This window comes from Homo sapiens, chromosome 17 (genome assembly GCF_000001405.40).
Source record: "Homo sapiens chromosome 17, GRCh38.p14 Primary Assembly".
NCBI classification, from domain to species: Eukaryota; Metazoa; Chordata; class Mammalia; order Primates; family Hominidae; genus Homo; species Homo sapiens.
Window position 1 is genome coordinate 4,770,261 of NC_000017.11, and position 13,866 is coordinate 4,784,126.

The 13,866-nt window shown below is 50.1% G+C and overlaps 1 protein-coding gene across 1 annotated transcript; it reads left to right on the top strand.

Moving 5' to 3' along the window:
- Nucleotides 1-1,625: 1,625 nt before the first annotated feature.
- On the top strand, nucleotides 1,626-12,951 carry TM4SF5 (transmembrane 4 L six family member 5). The gene is made up of 5 exons (NM_003963.3): nucleotides 1,626-1,839; nucleotides 10,529-10,609; nucleotides 12,243-12,379; nucleotides 12,594-12,777; nucleotides 12,854-12,951. The coding sequence occupies exons 1-5, from the start codon at nucleotides 1,663-1,665 to the stop codon at nucleotides 12,866-12,868; spliced, it is 594 nt and encodes a 197-aa protein (NP_003954.2). The 5' UTR covers nucleotides 1,626-1,662; the 3' UTR covers nucleotides 12,869-12,951.
- The last annotated feature ends 915 nt before the right edge of the window (nucleotides 12,952-13,866 follow it).

The following is a 13,866-nucleotide window of genomic DNA, read 5'->3' on the forward strand; positions in this document are numbered from 1 at the left end:
AAAAAAACAACAAAAAACCATTAGCCAGGTGTGGTGGCACACACCTATAGTCCTAGCTACTCGGGAGGCTGAGGTGGGAGGATCACTTGAGCCCAGGTGGTCAGGGCTGCAGGGAGCCATGATCCACTCCACACCAGCCTGGGCAACAAAGGGAGACCCTGGTCTCAAAAACATTTTTTTAATTAAAAAAAAAAGAAGTCGACTGGGTGGCTTGGCTCATGCTTGTAATCCCAGCACTTTGGGAGGCTGAGGCAGGTGGATCATTTGAGGTGAGGAGTTTGAGACCAGCCTGGCCAACATGGTGAAACCCCGTCTCTACTAAAAATACAAAAATTAGCTGGGTGTGGTGGTGGGCGCCTGTAATCCCAGCTACTTGGGAGGCTGAGGCAGGAGAATCGCTTGAACCCAGGAGGCGGAGGTTGCAGTGAGCCAAGATCACGCCACTGCTCTCCAGCCTGGGCGGCAGAGTGAGACTCCGTCTCAAAAAAAAAAGAAGTTATCAAGGAAACTGCAGCACCCCAACAAAAACAGAACTTCTTTGACCTCAGAATGGAAAAATGGCAGAAGCTGATTCTCACAGAGTTGGCTCAGATCGCATGGCTGTTGCTAAATCAAACACCGAGGCTAGCAGGATAGAACGCTCTCATCAATGAGGCCTAGGTCCCGAGCCCACCCTGAGAGACAGGCAGTGGCCTCAAGAGGAGGAGACATCAATAATCAAATACCAGGAAGACGAAATGCAAGGACAATAAGAGCCCACAATCACCTCTTTAATTTCTCCCTGGGAAGAATGCTGCCTGAGAGGCTGGCAGAAACGAAGAGGCCACCACACATCTGCTCTGTGCTTCCTAGTTTACAAAATACTTCTCAGGTTGTCCCATTTAATCCTCACAAGTAGCCCACAAGGCAAGTGGCATCACTTATTTATTTATCTATTTATTTATTTATTTATTTATTTACTTTTTGAGACAGAGTTTCATTCTTGTCACTTTATTTACTTATTTATTTATTTTTCGAGACAGAGTTTCACTCTTGTCACCCAGGCTGGAGTGCAATGGCACAATCTCAGCTCACTGCAACCTCCACCTTCCAGGTTCAAGTGATCCTCCTGCTTCAGCCTCTCGAATAGCTGGGATTACAGGTGCCCGCCACCATGCACAGATAACTTTTGCATTTTTAGTAGTGACGGGGTTTCACCACGTTGGCCAGGCTGGTCTCAAACTCCTGACCTCAGGTGATCCACCCTCCTCGGCCTCCCAAAGTGCTGGGATTACAGGTGTGAGCCACCGTGCCCAGACACAAGTGGCAACTGAGACTTAAGAGACATGAAGGGGCTTGGCTAAGTTGCAAAGCAGGTATGGAACCAACAGAGGGGCTGTGGAGCTGTGCAGAAAAAACAGGAAGGCACTAACCCAGGGTAATGTGTCCATAGCCCCCACCTTGTCCAGCACCACATCCTCCCTTCACCTCAGGGCTGCAGCTCCTCCGCCTCTGCCTCCTCAGGGCCCACATCCTGTGCCTCTCTCCCTTATCATTCTGATCCTGCCAGTTTCTGCCACGCCTCTGTCTGAACTTTGCTCCGTGCTCCAGGCTTGTTTTCCTCTGGACCTGGGAACCACTGGCTTACTTTCACTCACCGCCTGTCCTTCCTGACACCTCACCATGTGTACGGGAAAATGTGCCCGCTGTGTGGGGCTCTCCCTCATTACCCTCTGCCTCGTCTGCATTGTGGCCAACGCCCTCCTGCTGGTACCTAATGGGGAGACCTCCTGGACCAACACCAACCATCTCAGCTTGCAAGTCTGGCTCATGGGCGGCTTCATTGGCGGGGGCCTAATGGTGAGAAGGCTGGCAGGGGAGCCCGGGCCAGCTGGCTGGGTGCCACCTAAGGGGTTCTGAACAGGAGGGAGAGGGAGAGAGGAATAAGAATGGTTGCTTGGGAGAGGATGGCAATGGCTTCGTGGGGGCTAGCAGCCCTCTGGAGTCAGTCCTGGAGGAGCCCCAGGGTCCCAAGCTGAATGTCTGTGGGGCACAGAAAGGACGAGAGCCTCACTGCTCTAAAGAGCTCCCCTACCGGGTAGGGAGCATGTCCTGCCTGTCCTCCCTGTCCCCACTGTTGAGCAGATGCTGGGAAAACCTCACTACAATGGTCGAGGCAGAAGGAGCAGCTGGTTGTCAGAGACGTCATCGGGGCAGGATAATAACAGGCATGAGGGTGGGGCGCAGTGAAATTACCCAGAGCCAGGGACTGCCCTCACGGATCAGTCACCCTCGCTTGCCTCCACGTCCATTCACTCTCACCCCACATTTCTGGAAGCCCAATCTGTGCGGACTGCTAAGGATAAACTCAGAACTTAGGTCAGTATGGCAGGGAGGATGCCCTCAAGTCGTCTTCCGGGAGATGAGAATCTATTTGCCAGGGGCGGAGGTGGGGGTTGGTTTTTGTGTTTGTTTTTTGTTTTTTTTTTTTTTTGAGACAGGGTCTCTCTCTGTTGCCCAGGCTGGAGTGTGGTGGTGCGAACATGGCTCACTGTAGCCCCAACCTCCTGGGCCCAAGCAGTCCTCCCACCTCAGCCTCCGAGCAGCTGGAACCACAGGTGGGCATCACCACACCCAGCTAACTTTTAAATATTTTATTTATTTTTATTATTATTATTTTTTTGAGACGGAGTCTCGCTCTGTCGCCCAGGCTGGAGTGCAGTGGCGCCATCTCCGTTCACTGCAACCTCTGTCTCCTGGGTTTAAGCAATTCTCCTGCCTCAGCCTCCTGAGTAGCTGGGATTACGGTCACGTGCCACCACACCCAGCTAATTTTTGCATTTTCAGTAGAGACAGGGTTTCGCCACGTTGGCTAGGCTGGTCTCGAACTCCTGACCTCAGGTGATCCGCCCCCCTCGGCCTCCCAAAGTGCTGGGATTACAGATGTGAGCCACCGCCCCAGCTTACATTTTTTGTAGAGACGGAGTATCTCTGTGTTGCCCAGACTGGTCTCAAACTCCTGGATTCAAGTGATCCTCCTGCCTCAGCCTCCCAAAGTGCTAGAATTATAGATGTGAGCCACCACGCCTGGCCAAGACTAGGATCTGTCAGAAGTGGAGGAAAAGGAGACACAGATTTCCCCAATTTACTAACCCCCATCTTCCAACTCTCCACCCATTCAGGGAAACTTTGGGATGGTCAACCTCGTTTAATATCTTCATGCGATAAAGACAAAAGATCTACCCAGCACAGTTCCCCACTTCTCAGGACAGTTGGCTAATGACATTCTCCAGGGGAGAGCTCCCCTTGGTCCCTTTTGCTGGTCACACCTCGCTGGTCACACCTCTATTTGCTAAAAGAGGATACCTCTCCTTTAACCAACAATCCCCTCTTACTCTCTAGTATCTTTTCTTCTACTCCCTCCTCCTGCATGGATTCTTGGCTGCTGTACTCTACTCTATCGCTCTAAACTCAACTCTCTTTGAGAGTCACACTCCTCTCAGGCTGACACACTTAGCCATTGTCACGGGGTGCTCCCTCTGCAACCTGAACCACCCCTGTCTCCCCACACTCCTCTGCCCCATCTAACCAGCTTGCTTCAGCGGAGCTCCCTGAGTCTGCCTTCCCCAAATATGCATTCACAGCTGCCTTCCCTCCACCTCTGTGCCCAGAGTCACTCTCAAGAAGCACCACCCGGTGGGCATGGTGGCTTACGCCTGTAATCCCAACACTTTGGGAGGCCGAGGCGGGCCAATCACCTGAGGTCAGGAGTTCAAGACCAGCCTGGCCAACATGGTGAAACCCCGTCTCTACTTAAAGAAATATACAAAAATTAGCCAGGCATAGTGGCGGGCGCCTGTAATCCCAGCTACTCGGGAGACTGAGGCAGGAGAACCCGGGAGGCAGAGGTTGCAGTGAGGCGAGATTGCGCCATTGTGCTCCAGCCTGGGCGACAGAGCAAGACTCCATCTCATACATAAATAAACAAATAAATAAGCACTGCTGTATATCACAGGGACACAGACAGGTTCCTGCTCTCCCTGAAGCTTGTGTTCCCTTTGGTAAGGCCACCAGTCTCACGGAAGCAAGGCTGGAAGTCCCACGAGAGCAAGCACTGCCTGCTTTGTTGGCCACTATGTACCCAGTGCTAGACCAGCACCTTGCACTAAACAGACACCCAATTAATAGTCATGGAATGGCAGCGTGTGCCTGTAGTCCTAGTTTGGGCCCAGAAATGAAAGATTGCAGTGAGCTATGACCACGCGCCACTGCACTCCAGCCTGGGCAACAGAGCAAGACCTTGTCTCAAGAAAATAAAAAATAAAAAAGTCATTGAATGAAGTATAGAACTAGGCAAGGCAATTTCAGATAGAAGTAGGTACCATCGGCCGGGCGCAGTGGCTCATGCCTGTAATCCCAGCACTTTGGGAGGCTGAGGCAGGCGGATCACCGAGGTCAGGAGTTCACGACCAGCCTGACCAACATGCAGAAATCCTGTCTCTACTAAAAATACAAAAATTAGCCAGGCGTGGTGGCGCATGCCTGTAGTCCCAGCTACTCAGGAAGCTGAGGCAGGAGAATTGCTTGAACCCGAGAGGCGGAGGTTGCAGTGAACCAAGATTGCACCATTGTACTCCAGCCTGGGCAACAAGAGTGAAACTCTGTCTCAAAAGTAAAAAATAAAAATAAAATGAAATGGTGCTGGCATGAAGAGCTCCTAGGCAAAGCAGATGCCACTTTTTATAGGATTTTCAGGGACAGGCTCTATGAGGTGATGTCTGAACTGAGACCCAAATGACAAGAAGAAGGTGTGAGTGTTGCAGACACTAGGGGCTGGTAGTACAAAGCCTAAGGTGGGAACAAGCTCTACACTTCTGAGGATCAGACAGGTGGCCGGTGAGGTGAGATGTAATGAGATGAGGTCTGAGGAGGGCAGAGGCTAGGCCTGGAACACCCTGAAAAGCCACAGTGGAGTCATTTGAATTTTTATTATTATAAGTACAACAGAAAACTATTGAAGGACTTTTTTTTTTTTTTGAGACGGAATCTCACTGTGTCGCCCGGGCTGCAGTGCAGTGGTGCGATCTCGGTTCACTACAAGCTCCACCTCTTGGGTTCACGCCATTCTCCTGCCTCAGCCTCCCGAGTAGCTGGGACTACAGGCGCCCGCCACCACGCACAGCAAATTTTTTTTTTTTGTATTTTTAGTAGAGATGGGGTTTCACCGTGTTAGCCAGGATGGTCTCGATCTCCTGACCTTGTGATCCACCCGCCTCGGCCTCCTAAAGTGCTGGGATTACAGGAGTGAGCCACCGCGCCATGCCCTATTGAAGGACTTTTGGCACTTTGTTTTTTGACGGTTTAAAACTTTTTATTTAAGTCACACAGACAAGTACCCAGATCCTTAGTACACAGCTCAACAAACTTTTACAAAGTGAGCACATCTGAGCCCAGGTCAAGAAACAGATCATTACCAGAAGCCCAGACATGCTTCTCACCACACACGGAACCCCAGAATCACTTCACCAACAAGCGTAACCACTATTCTGTCTTCTAACCCCATAGACGAGTTTGGCTTATTTTGCACTTTACACAAATGGAATGATAGAGTATGTGTCTGGCTTTTTTTTGAGACGGAGCTGTTGCCCAGGCTGGAGTGCAGTGGCGCTATCTCAGCTCACTGCAACCTCCGCCTCCCAGGTTCAAATGATTCTCATGCCTCAGCCTCCAGAGTAGCTGGGGTTACAGGCATGAGCCACCACGCCTGGCTAATTTTTGTATTTACTTTAGTAGAGATGGGGGTTTCGCCATGTTGGTCAGGCTGGTCTCGCACTCCCGACCTCAGGTGATCCACCCACCTCGGCCTCCCCAAGTGCTGGGATTACGAGCGTGAGCCACCGCGCCTGGCCTGTGTCTGGCTTCTTTAGCTCCATATTACGTTTGTGAGAGCCACCCATATTATCAGGTGTAGCTGTAGTTTTCTTTTTTTCTTATACATTCTATTATGTGACTATACCTCATTTATACATTCTACTGTTTGTTTGTTTGTTTTTTTGCTTTTTTGCTTTTTTGTTTTTTTTGAAACAGAGTCTCGCTCTGTCACCCAGGCTGGAGTACAATGGCGCCATCTCGGCTCACTGCAACCTCTGACTCCCAGGTTCACATGATTCTCCTGCCTCAGCCTCCTGAGTAGCTGGGATTACAGGCATGTGCCACCGTGCCCAGTTAATTTTTGTATTTTTAGTAGAGACGGGGTTTCGCGATATTGGTCAGGCTGGTTTTGAACTCCCAACCTTAGGTGATCCGCCTGCCTCGGCCTCCCAGAGTACTGGGATTACAGGCATAAGCCACTGTGCCCGGCCCATTCTACTGTTGAAGGAGATCTGGATCATTCCCAGTTTGGTTTTTTTGCAAATAATGCTGCTATAAATATTCTTGTAGATGTATTTAGGTACAAATACGTGTGCATTTCTATTGGATAAAAACCTAGCAGTAAAACTGCTGATTCTTAAGACATGCAAGTATTCAGCGCTAATAGATATTGCCAGTTTTCTGTAGTTCTTAGTGTGAGAGGTCTGGTTGCTCCACACGCCACTGGAATGAAGAAGACTCCTTTGACCACTGTGTGGAGAATGGGTAGTAGAAGGTCTGCAATATATACAGAAAAAGACCAAACTGAGCTGGGCGTGGGGCCTCAAGCCTGTAATCCCAGCACTTTTGGAGGCCGAGGCCAGCGGATCATGAGGTCAGGAGTTCGAGACCAGCCTGACCAACATGGCGAAACCCCGTCTCTACTAAAAATACAAAGTTAGCAGGGCATGGTGGTGCATGCCTGTAATCCCAGCTACTCGGAAGGCTGAGGCAGGAGAATCTCCTGAACCCAGCAGACAGAGGTTACAGTGAGCCGAGATCATGCCACTGCAATCCAGCCTGGGTGACAGAGCAAGACTCCATCTCAAAAAAAAAAAAAAAGAAAAAGAAAAGACCAAACTGAGGTCACGGAAGACATCCAGGAGAGATGAGAGTGGCTTGGACTAGGCCAGTGGCTATGGAAATGGAGAAATATGAGCTGATTCAGGCTATAAGCACAGTGTTTTCTTCTTCATTTATGATGACACTTTTCACTAAGACAAAAAGATGGTGAAGAATGAGACAGAGAAGCACATACTACAAAGGGAAGCAAACACTTTAATCAAAAGAGTAAAAATCTCAAATAGGGCCAGGTGTGGTGGCTCATGCCTGTAAAATCCCAACACTTTGGGAGGTGGAGGCAGGAGAATCGCTTGAGTCCCAGCATTCAAGACCAGCCTGGGCAACATAGTGAGACTCTATCTCAACAAAAATTTTAAAATTAGCTGGGTCTGGCCAGGTGCGGTGGCTCACACCTGTAATCCCAGCACTTTGGGAGGCCGAAGCAGGCTGATCAGCTGAGGTCAGGAGTTTGAGACCAGCCTGACCAACATGGAGAAACTTTGTCTCTACTAAAAATACAAAGTTAGCAGGGCGTGGTGGCGCATGCATGTAATCCCAGCTACTCGGGAGGCTGAGGCAGGAGAATCACCTGAACACGGGAGGCAGAGGTTACAGCGAGCCAAGATCGCGCCATTGCACTCCAGCCTGGGCAACAAGAGCAAAACTTCGTCTCAAAAAAGAAAAAATTAGCTGAGTGTGGTGGTACAAGCCTGTAATCCCAGCTACTCTAATGCTAAGGTGAGAGGATCACTTGAGCCCAGGAGGTCGAGGCTGCAGTGAGCCATGATCATGCCACTGCACTCCAGTCTGGGCAACAGTGTGAGACCCTCTCTCAAACAAAAGCAGAAACCTCAGACAAGTAGATCATTCAAAATTGGTAAATCCAAAAGGCAATTCTAGGTGTGTTTGGATCCACAAGCCTCCAGTAAGTGACCTAACCAGGGAGGTAAAGTAAGGTGTCAGCATGGGTCCTGGCCCTGCCATGAGACAGGAAGAAGAGAGAGCAGGTGTTTCTCTGAGGTTGCTGGGGATGATATAATAGAACTGAAACTCTCAGCCCTTTCCCTGGAGAAGCACAAAATGCTGCCTTGGATGGTATGTGCCAGATAAGACACATGAGGAGCCAGGCACAGTGGCTCATGCCTGTAATCCCAGCAATTTGGGAGGCTGAAGCAGGAGGATTGCTTGAGCCCAGGAGTTCGAGATCAGCTAGGCAACATGGTAAGACATGAACTCTCCAAAAAAATTAGCCAGGCATGTTGTTCCGCACCTTTAGTCCCAGCTACTCGGGAGGCCGAGGTGAGAAGATCATTTGAGCCCAGGAGGTTGAGGATGCAGTGAGCCATGATTGCACCACTGCATTCCAGCCTGGATGACAGAGTGAGATCCTGTCTCAAAAAGCAAACACACACACACACGAAAGCAAGAAGCAAGACAGCTGTGGAATTCCAGAGATAGGAGACAGGCAAAGAACCTGACCTGGTGCAACGAAGATAAAGGTAACGGAGCCAGATGAGGAGGCTTAAATGCCTTACAAGAGTTAGGCGTTCAAGTTACAAGTCTTGGCCAGGCGCGGTGGCTCACGCTTGTAATCCCAGCACTTTGGGAGGCTGAGGCAGGCGGATCACGAGGTCAGGAGATCAAGACCATTCTGGCCAACATGATGAAACCCCGTCTCTACTAAAAATACAAAAAATTAGCCCGGCGTGGTGGCATGTGCATGTAGTCCCAGCTACTCAGGAGGCTGAGGCAGGAGAATCACTTGAACCTGGGAGGTGGAGGTTGCAGTGAGCCAAGATCACACCACTGTACTCCAACCTGGTGACAGAGTGAGACTCCGTCTCAAAAAAAAAAAAAAAAAAAGAGTTCAGTCTTGATGGGCTTCTCTGTGAAGAGACCCTAAAGGATTTGAGCAGAGAAAAGACCAGTTGAAAGCTATGTTTAGGCCAGATGCAGTGACTTACACCTGTAATCCCAGCAATTTGGTAGGCCAGGGCAGGAGGAGCCCAGGAGTTCAAGACCAGCCTGAGCAAATAGCAAGACCCCATGTCTACAAAATTTTTTTTAATTAGCTGGGAATGATGACGCATGCCTGCGATACCAGCTACTCAGGAGGCTGAGGCAGGAGGATCACTTGAGCCCAGGAGGTCAAGGCTAAAGTCAGCCACGATCAAGCCACTGCATTCCAGCCTGGGTGGCAGAGTGAGACCCTGTTTCAAAAAGAAAGAAAGAAAAAAAAAAGCTATGTTTAACCTGATAGAGGATAGAGTGTAGGGTGGCATGGGGCAAGAGCTATGAGAGTGTAATAGGGAGGCTGAGAACACCCTCATGGGAGGTGATGAGGGATTCAATGTGGGGAGGAACTCACAGATTCAGGAGCCACTTAAGTAAAAGTTGAGAAAATTTGATGTCTTTCTGGGTGCAAGATTAAAGCTTTCCAGCCTGGCTGACCTAGTAGATGTTATTTTTTCCACTGATGGAGACAAGAAAGTCAAAGGGAGATGAATTTGAGGAATATTGTGAGATGAGCGTGAGGCTGGTTGAATTTGAGCTAAAACCAAGATATTCAAGTGAACATAGGATCTGGAGGCATCAGTTTTGGAGGCAACTTCTGGCAGAGTGAAGAGCTGATTCCCTGAAAGGGGATGGGCATTGTTAGGAAAGCCACAGGGAGAAAAAAAGACCAAGGCTTGAATCTTGGAAAATGCTACACTCCATATCAGACCATCCACTAGCACTCTTCCACACTCTACTGTAATCCCAATTCACCAGACACTCCAACACCTCTATCCCTTCCTGCTGCTGAGGGAACTTATAAATATTGAGTTACTCTGAGCTGGTCTTTTTTTTTTTTTTTTTTTGAGATGGAGTTTCGCTCTTATTGCCCGGGTTGGAGTACAGTGGCACGATCTCAGCTCACCACAACCTCCACCTCCCAGGTTCAAGTAATTCTCCTGCCTCAGCCCCCCGAGTAGCTGAGATTATAGGCATGCGCCACCACGCCCGGCTAATTTTGTATTTTTAGCAGAGTTGGGGTTTCTCCATGTTGGTCAGGCTGGTCTTGAACTTCCGACCTCAGGTGATCCACCAGCCTCAGCCTCTCAACATGCTGGGATTTCAGGCGTGAACCACCGCGCCCGGCCTCTGAGCCAGTCTTAACACCTAGTCAGCTTGTTCTCCCATTAAATCCTGAGAACAGACCTGTGAGGTAGATCTTCCAGACCCATTTTATACAGGCAAAACTGAGACCCTGAGAGATGAATCAATTCATAGCATGTGAAGTAGTTTCCCTGATTTCCATTCAGTAGGGCACCTACTATGTGCCAAGATTGGGGAAAATAATGATATTGGGCCCTACCCTCTAGAGGCCACAATCTGGACAGAGATAAGGTAGGCACGTAAATAAGGATAAAGTAAGGTGAAGCCCAGCAGCTCCAGGAGACGTAGAGATAAGGTCTTCTACAGTCCAAAGGGCTGAAGGCATCACAGGCAGCTTCCTGAAGGAGGTAGGCACTGATGCAAGTCAGGCCTGGAGGATCTGGGGGGACGTGCTATAACAATGACTCTTGTCCCACAGGTACTGTGTCCGGGGATTGCAGCCGTTCGGGCAGGGGGCAAGGGCTGCTGTGGTGCTGGGTGCTGTGGAAACCGCTGCAGGGTAAGATCCAGATTAAGAAGGAATTCAGGGCTGGGGGTGGTGTCTCATGCCTGTAATCCCAACACTTTAGCAGGCTGAGGTGGGAGTACGGCTTGAGCCAGGAGTTCTAGACCAGCCCAGGAAACATGGCAAGATCCCTATCTCTACTAACAATACAAAAATTAGCCGGGCGTGGTGGCAAGCACCTGCAATCTCGGCTACTTGGGAGGCTGAGGTGGGAGGGCCGCTTGAGCCCAGGAGGTCCAGGCTGCAGTAAGCAGTGATTTAAAAAAAAAAAAAAAAAAAAAAAAAGAAGAGAAAAGATACAGAAATTAGCCAGGCGTGGTGGCGGGCACCTGTAATCCCAGCTACTCAGGAGGCTGAGGCAGGAAAATCACTTGAACCCTGGAGGCAGAGGTTGCAATGGGCCGAGATCACACCATTGCACTCCAGCCTGGGCAACAAGAGTGAAACTCTGTCTCAAAAAAAAGAAAAGAAAAGATACAGAAATTAGCCTGGTGTGGTGGTGGGCGCCTGTAATCCCAGCTACTCAGGAGGCTGAGGCAGGAGATTACGGTGAGCCAAGATTGTGCCATTGCATTCCAGCCTGGGCAACAAGAGCAAAACTCCGCCTCAAAAAAAATGTATTTTTATTTTATTTTACATTTATTTATCTTATTTATTTTAGACATAGTCTTGGTCTGTCACCCAGGCTGGAGTACAGTGGCACGATCTTGGCTCACTGCAGCTTCCGCCTCCCTAGTTCAAGCCATTCTTGTTCTTCCAGCCTCCCAAGTAGCTGGGATTACAGGCGCCTGCCACCACACCCAGCTAATTTTTATATTTTTAGTAGAGACGGGGTTTCACTGTTGGCCAGAGTGGTCTGAAACTCCTGGCCTCAGGCGATCTGCCCCCCTTGGCCTCCCAAAGTGCTGGGATTACAGGTGTGAGATATCGTGCCCAGCCTCGAGTCAGGTTTAAAATAAATTTCCCTTCAAACCCCGGGCTTGCAGTTAGGCTAACCTGAAAGCCAGCGGCCGCCGAGATTCACTGGGGTTGTAGTTCCCCCCTCTCCCCTTCACCCGCCTACCCCTCAGGATCATTGAGATCTGAGATTTGTGGGTGCCAGGGAAGGGTGGGGTGGGGCCTGGGAGTCCGCAGAGGAGCTTGTGTAGCTAGGAATTCCATAGAGAGTGCTGTGGTTCTGCAAGGACAGGTGCAGAAACAGAGTCCGAATTTCTAATTTTTTTTTTTTTTTTTCTTTTTGAGACGGGGTCTGGCTCTGTCGCCCAGGCTGGAGTGCAGTGGTGCGATCTCGGCTCATTGCAACCTCCGCCTCCCATGTTCAAGCTATTCTCCTGCCTCAGCCTCGGGCATGTGCCACCACACCCGGCTAATTTTTGTATTTTCAGTAAAGACAAGGTTTCTCCATGTTGGCCAGGCTGGTCTTGAACTCTCGACCTCAGGAGATCCACCCGCCTCAGCCTCCCAAAGTGCTGAGATTACAGGGGTGAGCCACCGCGCCCGGCATTAAAAAATACATTTTAACAACCCGACTGGAGCAGATTTCGATAATGCGTGGGGGCTGGCGCTGAGCGTCGTCACCCACAGGTGGGGAGATTGGGCCTTACCTCCCCTTCCACACCACATCCAGATGCTGCGCTCGGTCTTCTCCTCGGCGTTCGGGGTGCTTGGTGCCATCTACTGCCTCTCGGTGTCTGGAGCTGGGCTCCGAAATGGACCCAGATGCTTAATGAACGGCGAGTGGGGCTACCACTTCGAAGACACCGCGTAAGGTTTAGCCTGTATTCGTGTCCTCCATTCTCTGCCTCTTCCCTCCCGCCCTTCCCCCGTGGACTGGGACACCTGGGCGGGACTCGACTTCGAGGGCACTCGCTCCACGTGGGCTACCTGGGCCTTAGCAAATCCCCTGGGACGTATTCTTGGGGGCGGGGTGGCGCACGCGCACGCTGCCTTCTCCCACGTGGCCTCACCCCTCCCACAGGGGAGCTTACTTGCTCAACCGCACTCTATGGGATCGGTGCGAGGCGCCCCCTCGCGTGGTCCCCTGGAATGTGACGCTCTTCTCGCTGCTGGTGGCCGCCTCCTGCCTGGAGATAGTACTGTGTGGGATCCAGCTGGTGAACGCGACCATTGGTGTCTTCTGCGGCGATTGCAGGAAAAAACAGGTGAAATTTCTTGCGGTGGAGTTGTAGAGGGAACCTGCCTGGTCCTGGCTGCGTTCTCACCTTCTCTTTTCCGCAGGACACACCTCACTGAGGCTCCACTGACCGCCGGGTTACACCTGCTCCTTCCTGGACGCTCACTCCCTTGCTCGCTAGAATAAACTGCTTTGCGCTCTCTTCTCTGTCTGAGATTGTGCCTTCTGTAAGGAGGAGTGTGCGAGAGGCTACGGATACACCTGGCCTTTGGGGCCCCTGCACCCCACTTGTACTTTCTTAACGAATAGATACTGAGCTATTTGGTTGCGCTGGAAATAAGGACGGTAAACAAGACAGACAAGTTTTATTCTCTCAAAGAACTTGGCATTCCAAGAGTGGAAGATAGGCAATTTTTAAAAGAAGCAAAAAATTATTTCAATAGGTAATAAGCACTTTTTTTTTTTTTTTTTGACAGGGTCTCGCTGTCACTCAGGCTGGAAGGCCGTGGTACGATCTCGGTTCACTGCATCCTCCACCTCCTGGGCTCAAGCAATCCTCCCGTCTCAGCCTCCCAAGTAGCTGGGACCATAGGCATATGCCACCATGCCTTGCTAACTTTTTTGTATTTTTTGTAGAGACGAGGTTGCCCAGGCTGGTCTCGAACTCCTGAGCAAAAGTAATCCTCCCACTTCAGGCTCCCAAAGTATTGGGATTACAGGCTTGAGCCACCGTGCGTGGCCGATAAGCACTTTTTAAAAGCATGTTGGTAATGGGATTGATATTGACTTATGGAGAGACTCTCTTTTATGACAGGGAAAATTTGAGAAAATGAAATTTGAGCTAAGATCAGGAAGGCTTGCTAACCATCTGGATATTTGGGGGATTATAGGCAGAGAGAACAGCAAGGACAAAGATCCTAAACAGGGATCAGTTCTGTAGGAGAAAATAATGAAAACTATGGAAAAGACACTGTAACCTCTTAAGCTCTAGAAAATGGAACTGTAAAGCCATTGTGGCCTTGTCACCTCCTAATTTGATAGAATTTTTTTTTTTTGCTTTTTTTGACAGGGTCTCACTTTGTCACTCAGGCTGGAGTGCAGTGGCACGATCTCGGCT

Coding starts and splice junctions, on each gene's coding strand:
- TM4SF5 (NM_003963.3), top strand. CDS start 1,663: ATGTGTACGGGAAAATGTGCCCGCTGTGTGGGGCTCTCCCTCATTACC. Junction 1,840..10,528: donor TCATTGGCGGGGGCCTAATG/GTGAGAAGGCTG, acceptor CTTGTCCCACAG/GTACTGTGTCCGGGGATTGC. Junction 10,610..12,242: donor GCTGTGGAAACCGCTGCAGG/GTAAGATCCAGA, acceptor CACCACATCCAG/ATGCTGCGCTCGGTCTTCTC.